Source organism: Homo sapiens, chromosome 7, assembly GCF_000001405.40.
Source record: "Homo sapiens chromosome 7, GRCh38.p14 Primary Assembly".
Lineage (NCBI taxonomy): Eukaryota > Metazoa > Chordata > Mammalia > Primates > Hominidae > Homo > Homo sapiens.
In genome coordinates this window covers 19,298,805-19,315,105 of record NC_000007.14, presented here as the reverse complement: position 1 = coordinate 19,315,105, position 16,301 = coordinate 19,298,805, and the positions used below count along the sequence as shown (strand labels likewise).

The following is a 16,301-nucleotide window of genomic DNA, read 5'->3' as shown; positions in this document are numbered from 1 at the left end:
TTGTTTAAATTCTTGTTTCAGGTAAACTGTTTTCTTTGAGCCACCCTATACAGAAATGGAAAGCCCTGAGAACAGCAAACCACAGGGTGCTAGCGTAGGGGCAAGAATCTGAAGACAGTTTAAGGGATTTTCTGGGGCTGATTTTGCAACAGTTTTTAAAAAATGGTGAGCAGTCACCTTACAGGGTTAATTTACACTATTATGGTACATTTGTTATGACTTTTGTTATGACGCTGGGGGTTAGAGTTTTTACTTCTCCAATCTCTCCTAGCTCTTATTATACTTATTTCATTAATAACCACGTAGCCTGCCTTGTTCTCAAAAGTATTTGTAGTTGCTTATAAAAATTCACATAGTAAAATAAAACTTTTTAAATTAGGAAAATCAGGACACAGAGAAAATGAAGCTCATATTTTATGAAGATGCCAGAGAGTAAGAACTCGGAAATAAATGTGTATATTTCTGCAAAAGAATTTAAAATGGATCATAAATTCAGCTCTGACTCCCCTATCAGACAAAATAAATTGAGAAATATGATCAGTTATAAGTTATCATTGTGCGTAAGATAAAAAAATACCAGCTGTTCCAGAGAAACACACATTTTGCTACACTGAAGTCTACACAAAACTCTCCTACGGTTCATCACAGAAGGGACACTGAGGAAATTTTGGGGAGCGTCATCCTCTATAATAAACCTGCAATACACAGAGAGCTCCATAGAGTTGTTTCTCACTGTGGCTGCCCCACCTTATTCACCAACTTCATGCCAAAGCACAATTTAATGTACAGAATTCGAAAGGACTGCCAAAACCACACAATCTAAGCAGGCAGCTTTCTGATTGCCTAACTTTATTCAGGGATACATTTTTATGCTATTTAGCAGACTAGATGGATCAGGATGCATATACTTCAGGCTATTTTTTTAGTATTAATTTTCAAAAAACGAGCTTTAATAAGAGTTGGATCACCAAGGCTACATTCTATGGCAATACCCTAGAGTTTAGGCATTGCATACAGCTGATCCTGATTGACAATTTATCCAATCCAAACTTCCAAAATCGCCTCTGTCAGAACCTTACAGGATTCTAGTCTGAATCATTTCCCACTCTAACTCTACAAAAAAGGTTAGCAAGGCAATATCTTCATGTCGGGCCAAGATTATTTTAGAAAACAGTTCTGGCTGTGCTACAACATATACATTATAACATAATATACATGACACCAAAATTTAAGCTCCTCAAAAGTGGGGATCTTTGTCCATTTTCTTTACTGCTACTAGAAATAATGTCTGGCATATGGTTGATGTTCAACCAGAATTTAATTACTGAATGAATGAATGTACAATGAATGATATGAGTAAAAGTAGTCCAAATCATTACCCCACAAAATGGCAGTTCTTAGGATTTTCAAGAACAAGAACCCCTTTTGAAAGTAAAAAATCATAACAATAACTTTGCTAACCCCACATGTTTAGAATTATTCCTTTTTGACAAAATTGCTTAGGAAAATTATAAAGAACAAAGCTCCTAAAAATCAATGGTGATTAATAATTGGATTTATATCTTATTATTTATATGCATATATTTACATTTAATAAATGTAGGATGTAACAGCTTCATTGCATATAGATAATGCTTGATGTATATTTGGATTTACGGATGCATTATATTAACTTGGGTATCTCCCAAGGGTACATAATCCATAGGTTGGGAAACACTAGATAAAAGCTTTGTCTTTATTATGTTGACGTTGAAATTGGTCTCAAAGGATATTTCAAATTGCTCACCAAAGCTATAGAAAATGGTGTGGTTAAGTGCATGTTTTGTGAACTCTGCAGTCCTACATTTGAATCGTGGCTTCACTGTGTTCTAGCTAAATGGCCTTAAGAAATACACTTTACTTCTCTGAAGTATCTGAAAAGAACATAATTATACCCACATCAAGAAAGTATTGTGGCTGAGTGTGGTGGTTCATGCCTGTAATCCCAGCACTTTGGGAAGCCAAGGCGGGTGGATCACTTGAGGTCAGGAGCTCGAGACAAGCCTGGACAACATGGTGAAACCCCGTCTCTACTAAAAATACTAAAATTAGCCAGGCATGCTGGTGGGTGCCTGTTATTCCAGCTACCTTGGAGGCTGAGGCAGGAGAATCACTTGAACCCAGGAGGTGGAGGTTGCAGTGAGCCAAGATTGCACCACTGCACGCTCCAGCCTGGGTGACAGAGCAAGATCCTGTCTCAAAAAAAAAAAAAAAAAAAAAAAAAGGAAAGAAAGTATTGTAAGGACAAGTGAAACAATATGTGCAAAGGGTTTCACAAATAGTAAGAGCTCTGCAAAGTGCTCCCTTTTTTCCAATAGATACTAGATGGATAACGAAAATTAATTCATGAGAATACTCTTAGTTCCTTGCAATACATTCATTTCACTAGCACAAAGAGGCCTATAAACACTGCATTTGAAAGGATTACCTCATCTGCCAGGGACCTCCTGTTGCCCCTCACTCTTGCAATGTCATTATGATAGAGGTTCTAAACAAATTCAATATCTAGATTAGATACAGCTCTTGAAACTTATGCTATAAGCAGTGCCCTGAACTCAGGGGTGGAAAGCAAAGGAAGAATCAATAAAAGATCTCAATGTTCTTCTATGCTGCTGTCACATTTCTCCACAAATATTATATACTGAATGAGCTAATTTCATACCAGGCTAAAAGGGCAAATAGTAGCCCCGACAATTCCCTGGTAAACATTGACAATCAATATGATACTAATGAATGAATATTGCTTTAATATTTTTTTACTCAATATTTTGTTTTGGTTTATCCAAAAGAAAATCTCAATATTCAACGTGCCTTTAGTGTGTCTGTAACAGGGACTCAGGGATCCTTTCATCTCCTTTTCTCCCAGCAACAGACAATAGTCTCTTTATTGTAGTTATTACTGACATTAATGCAAATATTTCTGACAAGTGGAAAATCTTCTTGTAATTAAATTTCTGTTGTACTTTAATGTTTGTTCCCTAAAGAAAGTTCCTGTTAACAGATTTCAAGCTGTGATAATAATATTTTCTTCCTATGTTATCAAAAGTTGTAATCTGTTTTCTTTCCTGGACAGCACTCAAAGTAGCTTTAAGATTTTTTTTTTAAACTGGAAATGGTACTTTTTTTCAAAGTTTGCATGAATTGTTCTTAAATATCAACTTAGAGTTTCAACAGAGTGAAGGAGAGCACTGGGAAACCTAGTATAATAACTTGATTTAGAATATTAAGTCTCAGCAAAGGTCACAGTCTAGAAACTACGGAGTTTTTTAGAGGTGGATGGGGAAGTAGGAAAGAGATACATTAACGGAAGGGAATTTACATGTGCTTTTAGACTCATAGTCTTTGATAAATAAGTTACTACTTTTGAATATCATATAAATCAACTCTGAAATGCTTTCATTGATTTAACTCCTCATTTTCTTCAGCTTTTGACTAATTTACATATGAATAGTCCATCTTAGCATAAATATACAATGACTAATAATATTTATCACAATAAAATTTCAGCTTCGCCAGATAATTACCTTTGAGCCAACTATGTATACTACCAAATTTATTCATGAATAAGACTGAGTTCAACATAGCGAAAAGTCAGCTTTTTAAATTCTCTTATTTGATGTTATCATATACCTATTTTGAGCTTTTTTTTGGTGGGGGGGACCGAGTCTTGCTCTGTTGTGCAGGCTGGAGTGCAATGGTACGATCTCGGCTCACTGCAACTGCCTCCTGAGTTCAAGTGATTCTCCTGCCTCAGCCTCCTGAGTAGCTGGAATTACAGGCACCCGTCACCATGCCCACCTAATTTTTGAATTTTTAGTGGAGACGGGGGTCTCACCATGTTGATCAGGCTGATCTCGAACTCCTGACCTCAGGTGATCCACCTGCCTCAGGCTCCCAAAGTGCTGGAATTGCAGGCATGAACCACTGCACCCGGCCCTATTTCGAACTTTTTAAGATTACTTTTAACTTCTTTAAAAACTGGAGCCCCTCAAATAAAACAAATCCTTTTTAAAATGTTCCAATTAAATAACTGATTTTTTTAAAAAATAGGATTATAGTATATAAAACATTCATAGAAAAAAATCTGTCATCTCCTCTATATTAATCAGTACTTATAAAACCTAGATGTGATAATAAAAAGTGCTGCCGAAACAACGAAACCTACAGCAGCTTCATAAACTTTAGGCTTCATCTAGTGTCACTAAACAAGCCAAATACTCATTTCTCAGGATGTATCAAAGTGACAAGCGCTCACAGCCACAGGAATGGCAATGGGCACACTCTGGTCCCAAACAAAACTGGAGGGAACACGTAGTCATTAATTGAGTTGGAGTAAGGAGAGTCCCCAGAAACTGAAGTTTTTGTTTAACAAATGAAAAGAATGGCGTCGGGGAAATTAAGCGATGTAACCAAGGTGTCAGGGTGGTTCGACATTACACAAGAACAAGAATTTAAAGCTGTTGACTTCTGATCCAATAGTCTTTATCCCAGACTCCTCCTCAATAGAGATCTCATGCTAGAAAATTTTTATTCATAGATATTTTACAGCCTTGTGAATGGAGAATCCATATTGCCCAGATGGAAATCAAATTTTAGTTTTTAAAAAAATATATTGGAAATTCTTCCTTCTACTAGATCTGCAAAACTAAATCATGGCTCCTGCAGAGATAAGCTATCAACTGACTAAGGACGTCAGGAAAATGTATCTCTAGAACATTTCATGAAAGGAAGATGTATTGGTTATCACAAACCACTTACATAGCCAAGTAGTAGAATAGTTCAGACTTCTAGTTTTCATTAATAAAGTTATACAACTTGTTCTCATTTCAAAGATGAAGTGCCTATTTGTAATAGTTAAACAAATAAAAATAACCATGGAATAGACTCCGAGGTTTCACAGTCTTAAAATTGACCTGAGTTATTAATATTTTAGGCAACAGGTGTTTCCTTCAGTGAAAACAGAGCATTAGCAGCATTGGAGGTTCCTGATCAAGGTAAAAATGAGGCAGGAATTGGCACAGACTTTGTCATAAATATTTGACAAATTAATTTTGCTACCACTGTTATGAAATAATTGATTTTTCAAGAAAATATTTACAGGTACTCACCACTAAAATTTTGCTATGCTAGTACTAATTCTAGGCATTTGGTTATTCTCTTTTGAAAACAAAAATGTAAATTCCCCATCCACTAATGCCATCAGAGAGATGCTGAAGCATGCTAAAGATAGACTTCAGTGTGCACCAACCAGTTAATCACAGTCAGAAGTCCCAACTCCCAAGTTATCAAACTGAACAATGATCTAAACCCAAAGGCTTGTTTCTGGTGCCATATACTTCTTCCCTAGAACCCTAAAGGAATTATTACCAGGGCAAGGAGATCATACTCAGCAGTATTCAGCATCCTTCAGTCTGGTGAAGAACTCACTCTCAATGAAATCCTTTCTCCCTTACCTGTCCTGCACACACACACACACACACACACACACACACACACACCCTCATTGTTAGCCTTCAGCAAATTGGGAAATATGACAGACAACTGGTATTGAGGAATATCCAATGGCAGAAAATTAATCTCTCAGTGGCAGAACTAACCAAAATTGTAGGCCATAAGCACTATAGCTAATGCCAGTATACATGAAAATTATCTTGTTTTCTGAGAATTCTGTTTTACAAACATGTGGAGCTCAAGATTTTCAATTACAGTCCCACCATTTACAATGTACCTTCATTCTAGTTACTTGCTTTCAAACCTCTTTTTTAATATTAAAATGAGGATAAAAATAGTTTCCATCTTTATAAGGTTATTATATGAGCAAAAATGACATTCTGTGTGTGTGTGTATGTGTGTGTGTGTGTGTGTGTGTGTGTGTGTGTATGGCTTAGCCCAGTGCTCAATAAGTATTACCTATTCACATTGTATCCCTTTAAAAAAAATCCAACAATATTAAGATTATTGTATTTGAGAACACATTTACAGATCAGGACCCCCTACGCACACACACACACACACACACACACACACACACACACACACAAAATAAAAGCTTTGTGGCTATTGCCAACATACTTCTTAAAATGCATGTTCTTTATATGGTAGATGTTATTAGGAGTGCATAGTATTAAATATGCATGACATTAAATGTGTAGTTACATACACAAATCTGGTTACAAAGTGAATTTCCAAAAACATAAAATATAACTAAGAGTAAGAGTGTAAGGGAACATGAGAATATGAGAAGCAAGGTTAATACATGAAAAAAAAGGACAGCAATAAGTAATAGGAATTTACCCAGGCATAAATAAAAATATGCTTGGGAAAAGATATGGCACCATACTATGGGATTTCATAAAACAACTTATATTATTTCTCTCACCACTGTTAACTAGCATATTTATTAGGTGATGCAAAAGTAATTGCTGTCTTTACCATTAAAAGTAATGGCCAGGCCGGGCACAGTGGCTCATGCCTGTAACCCCAGCACTTCTGGAGGCCAGTGGATCATGAGGTCAGGAGACTGAGACCACCCTGACTCACATGGTGAAACCCCGTCTCTACTAAAAATACAAAAATTAGCCGGGCGTGGTGGCGGGCGCCCGTAGTCCCAGCTACTCAGAGGCTGAGGCAGGAGAATTGCTTGAACCCGGGAGGCGGAGGCTGCAGTGAGCAGAGATCATGCCACTGCACTCTAGCCTGGTCAACAGAGCCAAACTCCGTCTTAAAAAAAAAAAAAAAGTAATGGTCAAAACGGCTATTACTTTTGTACCAACCTATATGAAATCTAATATGAAAATGATTGTATAGTACTGTAGTATTTTGGTCACTGTATAGTGATAAGTTTCTTTAATTTTTATGTTATATGCATTTAATCAAAAAATTGATGTAGGCTTCTGACAGTTTTGTAAATCCTGATTTTTTTCTAGGTGAGCCACATTATATCGTGATTTTCAGAAAGCATTTTCTAAAAGAGCAACTTCTGAGAAGTGAATAATTTAAATCTCTATTTAAATTATTAAATCTCTATTAAATCTTAAATCTCTATTTAAGAAGTGAATAATTTAAATCTCTATTTAAATTATTAAATCTCTATTAAATCTTAAATCTCTATTCTTAAATTCTGTCTCTCTTCTTCTCTTTCTCTCCCTCCCCCTCCATCTCCCTCTCTCTGTTCTCCTTTTAAAACTGAGTCCTAAAATCTAGAGTTGACTGCTGATACATAAAGGTTGAAGGCGGTTACTAAAGTCTTAGGAAGCCTATTGGCTTTACGATATCAACCAATATAATGATGGAGGGTCCAATCGACCATATGATGACTCAGCATTAAACAGATCTTTTATTATAACATTGTATATTTTTTAAAAATTGAGCTAAAAAACATGAAAATTTTATATAGTGAGGGTTTCTATTAAAGACATAAAGGCTGAGGTAATGAAATAAAAAGATTCTTCCATGTCATTTTTGATCTAAATTCACGTGAAGAAATGTCAATATATGTGAATCACTTTAACCAAATTCTCTGTTACCTAACATAGAACATAACATTAGGTTGTTTAGGGAAAATTCATCTTTTCATCATGTACCTCCTTCTTTAATGCTTGTTTAGGCTTTGACCAATCAGGATAACTTAAGGACATCTTAAAATAGAGATACTGTCCCTTGATCTTTTACTGCCTAAATTCTCCTTCTATTTACTTATTTTGAGTGAAAGGTTTGGAGAAAAGGACTAATCATTGCTAATGAATTTGGTGCTGGTGAAAAATGCCAGATGGGCAGTCACGGGGACTGAAGTTCTTTTATTCAGAGGCTAAACCAGAACATTTCCCCCCGTTCTTTGCTTTCCGATGCAACCTAGAGTGCTGGGCTATCTGGCATTTCCAGACCTATACGATCTCTCCTTCATTAATCAGCATTTTCACATTTCATCAGGCATCATTTCTGATAGACATATTCTAGCTACATAGAAATGACCACTTCTCATTACTCGTTTCTTAGACAGCTTTTACAAAAATAGGAGATTCAAATTAGCAATATCCTTTGGGATATGTTATACAGTATTTTAGGAAGATGAACTTAGAAAAAGCGAAGTTATTCATATAATGATGTTTTGTCCTTTCAGGCATCTAATTGAGAAAAGATTTCTCCACACAAATCGATACTTTTGCATGTGTTAGGCCAAAGTACCCATGTTAGCACATTCCTGACTTAAAAAAAATCATATTAACTCATGATGGTGTTCTCAACTAGTATGCCAAGGACAAACTTCAATTAAAGTGAAACAGCAATGGAGATGCCATAATAAATTTTTTGATAATGATTATTTCTTCAGAATAACTAACATTTCAATTGTGCCTACAAAGTGCTAGTCACCAAAATTTTGAAAGACAATTTTTATTTTCAAAAAATCTAAGACTCCAAGGATTAGATGACTTAGGTGAGGTCACCCAGATGACAAAGAGAAAGGATCAGAATAAGCCCTAAATTTGTATGAACATTAACTCACTATGTCATAGTGTTTCCCTGTTGTCAAATCTCCATCTTCAGAACAGACCACTAGTCTCCCGTGCTCAGCTATTTCTGAGATATTTTCAATTTACTGCCACTATGTTCAAAATGGAATTTTAATATCCGCTCACTACCCAGCTCCCATTCTGTTATTTGTACCACTGTTACAAATGCCTTTTGGAGTCACATTTAATGTTTCTATCATTTACAGCCATACTATTCAGGTATTTAAGCTCCTATTTTTTCCTTCAAAATTCCTTTTGGTTTTCAACAATAACAGGACTTTTTAAAATATATATACTAAAACAAGAAAAAAATGAAAATTCAATACCTCTTTGAATACCATTATACATAGAAGAAATAAGTTCTGGTGTTCTATTATGTCGCTGGGTGACTACAGTTAATAATAATGTATATTTCAAAATAGCTAAAAGAGAGGATTTGGAATGTTCTCACCACAAGGAAATGATAAATGTTTGACGTGACTGATACTACATTTTTTTTCCAAGTCATTCTGCAAAACTTCATCCAGTTGATCTATAACAAAGCTTTTTAAGAATAGTTCTTACCTTAAAAACCTTCAGCAAGTTGTTCTAAGTCTAAAACACTGCTACGAAAATAAAGCTGTCTGTAATCTTGGCTTACTTTCTGTCTTCAGTATCACTTCTCCAAAATGAGCACATCACTCTGGCTAGCCATGACATAGTTTTCCTTCCATTCTTTGTTTATGTCTGACAAGCTGTTGCCACTTTTCCTTAAATAATACCTTTTTGTTGAGCATTCATTGAACATGCCAGCTCCTTTATAAACCCATCTCCAAGCCTCACTTTCTGCTTCCTTCATGTCTTGGATTGAAAGTATCTATTTAAATACTCGTTTACTTAACTCTACCTTAGAGTATTCTCTTTGTATTTTTTGTATGTTTTTCTTGAGAGCAAAACCAGGTCTTATTCGCCCTTCTCTTGGTTGTACAACAGCATCCAGGAAGTAGAAAAGGATGAATAAACTCTGGCTGATTGATTGATTGGGACTGATGCTGCCTTCTACAGCAGACGTTTATTTTAAAACATAAAGCTGTGACTTTTAAAATATTTTATAGGCCAGGCACGGTGGCTCACGCCTGTAATCCCAGCACTTTGGGAGGTTGAGGCGGGCGGTTCACGAGGTCAGGTGATCGAGACCATCCTGGCTAACACGGTGAAACCCCGTCTCTACTAAAAACACGAAAAATTAGCCAGGCGTCATGGTGGCCGGCGCCTGTAGTCCCAGCTACTCGGGAGGGTGAGGCAGGAGAATGGCGTGAACCCGGGAGGCAGAGCTTGCGGTGAGCCGAGATTGCTCCACTGCACTCCAGCCTGGGTGACAGAGCGAGACTCTGTCTCAAAAAAAAAAAATTTTTCTAAATTTTCTCTAAATTCAAATATTAGCATATTAGAAAAGTTTTAAAACAGCAAGGATTGGATAAAGGGTGAGTTCCTAATCCACATAGGTTAGGTTTTAGATGTGTGAACAGTTCAATAATTTACTATACGGACAACTAATTTCAAAAAATTATAATTATATTTTAATTCTATATCTTTAATAAAACAGAACCTCAGTAATTTAGCTCATGTTTGTGTGTTGCTTAAACAAAACCTGAAATCATATCATTTAGTTATCCCAAAGTCATAGATTCTTGGTAAACTTATGCTACTATTTGAAGTCATTGTTAAAAATACTCACTGCATCATAAAGGTAAGCTCTGTTTTCATATATTTAATTCTACTAAGGTTATTAAACTTGATGTTAGAAAATTTAAACATATATTGCCAAATATTAGCACTTCAGATATTTCTAGCAAAGTTTACAAAGCTAGAAGAAAAAACCCAGCAAATGAAAATACAAAAACATGAAAAATGAGCAAAACAACTGTATAATTTCACAAATGTTACAGAAAGCACCGACACTTTGTAGTTAATTATCTGATTCTCTATTCTGGATCACAGAAATTATAATGCAATAAAATATAAAGCAATAAAATAAAAGGGAGGAAATTTTCTAACATTTATTACAAGCAGATAGTTCAAATTTAATTCTATCGTTAATAAGTACATACCTTGGACAAGCTAACACCTCTGAATTTCCAGTTTCTTCATCTGAAAAATGGTGCAATAATTCTTATCTGTAATTATAATGAGAATTAAGTGTGACAATATATATGAAGTCTCTAGAACAGTAAGCAGATGCGTATGAGTCATTTACTTATTTTCTTTACCAGCTCCATGCAATTCTGAATGACGAATGACCTAGAACTGGCATCAACTTTTACTGCTCTGTCTTCCCTTTCAGATATTTTTTATTCACTTGCCTGATCTCATTGTTCAACTCTAGAAGCATGAATATCATTTCTAAGTGGGAAGAACATGGCCTCTGTTTCCAAGTTATCTATCAACTGCATACATTGACTTCCTTGCTTAATGTTTGGCTTCTTCGCCCACTCTGTCTGGGTTCCTGACCAGCTCTGGGTTCCTCAGGCCTCAGTGCTTACCTTTCCTGTTACCTCGAACTCTATGTATATGTATGGATGTTGTTTGTTTGTTTGTCTTCCCTTCAGTGTGATAATGCATCTGCCTACAGCCTCTGCTGAATCCCTTGGAACTAGAATCCAACTCGACTTTTATCCTTACAGTGCTATCAGTTTTTCTAATCGTCACAGCAACATACCACTTTTTTAAGTGATAAATGTCCCAGAAGCTGGGGCCTCATCATCCCCAGGACAGCTAAGTGAAGTCTATATCCAAGTGAGTGAAAAATGCTAGCGTCTAAGAAGCTCTATACAATCAATTCAATATAATTTAGAGCTTGTTTCTCTCTTATCTCCCATGGCATGGCTGTAGGGATTAACAGGAGAAATGAGAGTGATCAGAGTTTGTAGATATCCAGGAGCTTATCTCTTAGTGGAATCATCATTGTGATTTCTATCCTGCTTGAAAAATCCAGTCACTAACGTATTGGTAACATCGCTTTAATGGCTAGAAATAGGTAAAAGAATCCAAACCAGATCACAGTGAATATCAGATTCACCTAGGGAGATTGTATAAGATGCTTCTGCCTGGTCCCTACCCAAGCAATTAAATCAGAATCAGTTGGGATATGATGTCCTGAAAGAAGTCGAACACACACATTTGCTTCCTGGGACTTCTGTGCATGACCACCTCTCTGGCTTCTAACTGAGCAGGCTAGGGTTTCAGGTTTGTAGTATATTAATAGATTTAAAAGTTCCCGAGCAATACAATTGTATTTGCACATTTTCTCAGCTGGGAGGAAAATTTCATGGCAATGGCTGTGGCAGATACATGGAAAACACACAAAGTAAAACTTTACAAGTTTCATTGACTTTTATTTCCAGAAAACATGACCCAAGAAAATGCATTTTGGAAGATTAATTTTTATCTATAGTTTGTTGTCTTTGATGATAAAACCTTATCTGAGAATTGCTGTGAAACTTTTATGAGTTCCTCTGACCATTTTGAAACATCAGTAAAGTAGAAAATGAAACCACTTATTTACCAGAGTGATAAAGCATACAAGATTTACATGTAGTCTCTACACAGTTTTTCTTTAAACAATCTGGTTTCTTTAAGGCGCAATGTAAGGGGCTGATATCAGTTCATGTTGGTTGAGTTGTGTTTACCATGAGATTTAGTTTCTTTCTTAAGTACTTTAAACTTAGTAGGTTCAAGGATGCTCAGTGAGTCCAGACACTCAATAAATGCTGTTTGATGATGATAATGCTGAAGTTGCAACATGAGTGTTCTTGTATTCACTCACACTGAATGTCTTACTAAGGTTCAGACTGGCCTGGCGCGGTAGCTCATGCCTGTAATCCCAGGACTTTGGGAGGCTGAGGCAGGTGGATCACGAGGTCAGGAGATCAAGACCATCCTGGCCAACATGGTGAAACCCTGTCTCTACTAAAAGTACAAAAATTAGCCACGTATGGTGGTGCAAGCCTGTAGTACAGCTACTCGGGAGGCTGCGGCAGCAGAATTGCTTGAACCCGGGAGGTGGAGGCTGCAGTGAGCTGACATCTAGCCACTGCACTGCAGCCTGGGTGACAGAGCAAGACTCCATCTCAAAAAAATAAAAATAAATAAATAAATAAATAAATAAATAAAGTTCAGACTTTTTTCTTAAGGTTATACAATGTCATTGTTTCTTAAGGTTATATAATGTCAATGTATTAGTCCACTGCTTCCATGTCTTCATTTTCTTAGTGCAGAATCCAAAAACACAAGAAAGGAAATAATGGCTGTGTTTTCTTAAAACAAGCTGGGATCTTCTATCCATAAGACAGGTAAAACAGAAAAACTCCAACATGCTGTTTCGATGCTGTTATTTTTCTCTAGTACCTCCACCTTTTTTTTTTTTTTTTTTTTTTTTGCCTCCCTTCCCTGATCTTCCTAAATACTGCTCTTCAGGCAGTGTTCCCACAGGTAATGCTGTGAAGTAGGGGTTCAGGGTCAGGGGCCAGTGGGCTCGCTTTCATGTATGTAGCTCTAACTGTAACCCAATGCATCTCTTTCCCCTGAGCAAAGCATTTGTCTTCTCAGCATGAATTGCTACATGCAGAGCAGGATAGGATCCTGCAGACTGTTTGAGGATCAACATTTGGAGACTTAAGACTCACACAAGGTTTAATTGTATTACAGTTGATGAGAAAATAAATATTGAACCATTGCTAGCACCTCATCATGCTTTGAAAATTTAAAATTCCTGATTGGCCTAAGTATCAAGAAGTTGGTCTCTAACATCTGACTCGACTAGAGACTGCATGCTGAAAGAGTCATGCATAGCTAGTTGTTGTAGTGGCTTCTCTATAAAACAAAGAATAGCCAAAAACACTACGCAGACCCCTTCCAATCAAAGAGACTGAACTTTAAAAGCTAACTTTACTGACTGATTCTGAAGTTTTTATTTTCTTTGCCAGACAGGTTCAAAAAGAATGTCTGTTTTCATTTCATCAAGCTTAATCCATACATAACATCCTTTCCCACTATTTACTAGACTGCAGCTATCAAATGAAGATATGATGTCTGTGTTTGGGTTAGTTACTTTAAATTCTAATGACCATGATGTAATCACTGTAATCAAGAAAAGCTTGTCTGTCTTTAGATTTAGGTCCTTTGCCATTGGCCTGGCACACTTTTGAGCCTTTTCATTAAGCTAACCACAATTTTGCCTAATTTGTAATTATCTGAGCTTGCTTTACACAATCTGTGGTCCTAAATTAAAGCTTATTCCATTGTGTGTGTGTGTGTGTGTGTTTTGTGGTAATTGTTGTTCTGGCAAAACCGTTAACAAATATTTAGATAAGAAAGCTTTATCAGCAGTGTATTTTTTTACTCGACTTATGTGTTTGTGCATTTGAGTGTTTCCTTCTAATTATGCATTTTTTGGTAATTATATCTAAAGTGCAGATTCTTCTTTGCTCAAGCAAATGTTTAGAGAAACTTTAAAGTTTAAAAACATTGAAGTTGAAAAAAGATGAAAATTGCAATGAGTATACACGTGAATATAAAATGTTCTTTCAATCTTTATTTCTTTGTGTTTTTTAAACAATAAAGGTTTATATGAATAAAATAGAACCCATACACATATTCCTAATATGGGGAAAGTTAAACTATTGTAATGAAAACCCCACTATGTTCCCATTCTACACACCAGCTTTTAAGAATTACAGAATTGGCCGGGCGTGGTGGTTCACACCTGTGATCCCAGCACTTTGGGTGGCCGAGGCAGGTGGATCACCTGAAGTTGGGAGTTTGAGACCAGCCTGACCAACATGGAGAAATCCCATCTCTACTAAAAATACAAAATTAGCCAGGTATGGAGGCGCATACCTGTAATCCCAGCTACTCAGGAGGTTGAGGCCGGAGAGTTGCCTGAACCCGGGAGGCAGAGGTTGCAGTGAGCCGAGATCATCCATTCCACTCCAGCCTGGTCAACAAGGGTGAAACTCAATCTCAAAAAAAAGAAATTATTACAGAATTATCCTTTCGGTCGGTTGTTCACTAAAAAGGAGCCCTAAGAACCCCTCCACTCTTTTTACTAAGGAAAAATACTTGCTTATAAATTTGGAAAGCACAGATCATTAAATAAATTATTTTGGTAAAAATATCCCATTCTATCTGATAAAGTTTTGCTACTCAAGCACACTTAAATCCCATTTCATCAGAGATACCCTAGATAACATTAGCATTTAGCTACATTCCTGACATCCCTTAATGTATGAAAATCTACTGAATTTGAATGCCTGCGTATTTAATTTACACATCTGGGATAAATATTTTTCATCTTTTAGGTTGCAAGGTGAGTAGAACAAATGGGGAAAGGGAGAATGATTTAGTTGCTAAGTAGCAGACTGCCAAGGAACAGAGATTATTAAACCAAGGCCTGATAAGCTTTCAGTAGTGACCTGGGAAAGCTATGGAAAGGGAGGGAGCATTGTCGCCTCTCTCTGCCTCTTTTCTACTATTTTAAAGCTGGGAATAATGGTCTATTCAAATAGGAACGTGTATAATTTTTGCTATGCCATATGTAGGTATGACTGTGGAAGATTGTAAATCTTCCAGTTCCTAGTGATGCCTTACTCCTTTGCCTCAGCAATGGCAGAAGTATATAGATGGATGGTTAGCATTAACCCCACAGGATGCCATACAGCAAGGTTAATTAATTAACCTACATTAATTAATCACCGAGTTGGTTGAGATAAATGAATTGCCATATATATTCTAGTTCAATAATCTTTAGCTATACGCTATTTTATTTTGACCAACTAAAATAATTCATGAAAATCAATAAAAAGAAAGAGGCAGCAGCATTAATTCAGTTTAAGCAAAACTCCATTTAGACCTTATTTATTATATTAAATAATCATTTAAATGCCTGATGTCAATATGACCAATAGAGGAACTAATTTTAACATGATAATAATGACTGACTCCCAGGAATATTAGGGAAACAGCAATTTACTTAGGTGGGAATGCTGAAAATTGAAATAAAATCAATCAAATATGATTAATATAATAGGGTGTTTAGGTTAATTGGTGTGATGCATGTTTATTATAAAAAGTTGTTGCTGAATGCATGCCTGTTAACCTTTAACCCTAGAGCCTTATTTAACAGTTAACTTACTTACCAGCAGGATATCTTCAGGATTTCTCTGCTAGGTCTAAGCATGGAGAGGCAAGTCCTGACAGTGACAGAAATGAGAAAAAAACAATTTCTCTTGTTTCCTAGAACATATTTTTTCATGGCAATAAATTCTTCTGGGGAAATTCTAATATAGTGAGAAAAATACCGTGTTCTTACTTAGATGAACTAATAGAAAACAACTATAAATGTTTTCATAGTATTAAGTTTAAAATTGCAAAACTTTGAAGAACCACTGACCAAGAAATTGGAAGAAACATGAACTACAGATGCATGCTTTTAATCTTCATTAACTTGTAGTAAATGTGCATTATGTATTCTTTATGTGCATATGTATACATGAAATTGAGATGTACATTGTGTTCTTAGATTTTTAAAATTTAAATGCATATATTTTTAACATTGAGATTTTAGTGAGACCTTGAAATAAAGCTGCTCTTCCATGACAAAAACCAGGATTTAGAGTCTCTGCTTAAAGGAAATGCAGATGATGTGGGCAACTCATGAAGGTTTTCATGGTGCCATTGGTTATACTGCCTCATTACACCATTCTGTCACTCTCG

The 16,301-nt window shown here is 36.1% G+C and overlaps 1 long non-coding RNA gene across 1 annotated transcript in view; it reads right to left on the bottom strand.

Moving 5' to 3' along the window:
* Nucleotides 1–15,382, bottom strand: part of LOC107986773 (uncharacterized) — a 34,550-nt gene extending 19,168 nt beyond the window's left edge. Inside the window, exons 1-2 of the long non-coding RNA XR_001745109.2 lie at nucleotides 14,427–15,382; nucleotides 10,640–10,705 (exon numbers count right to left, since the gene is read on the bottom strand). This is a non-coding gene — a long non-coding RNA (uncharacterized LOC107986773). The remainder of the gene's footprint in view (nucleotides 1–10,639; nucleotides 10,706–14,426) is intronic.
* Nucleotides 15,383–16,301: the final 919 nt, after the last annotated feature.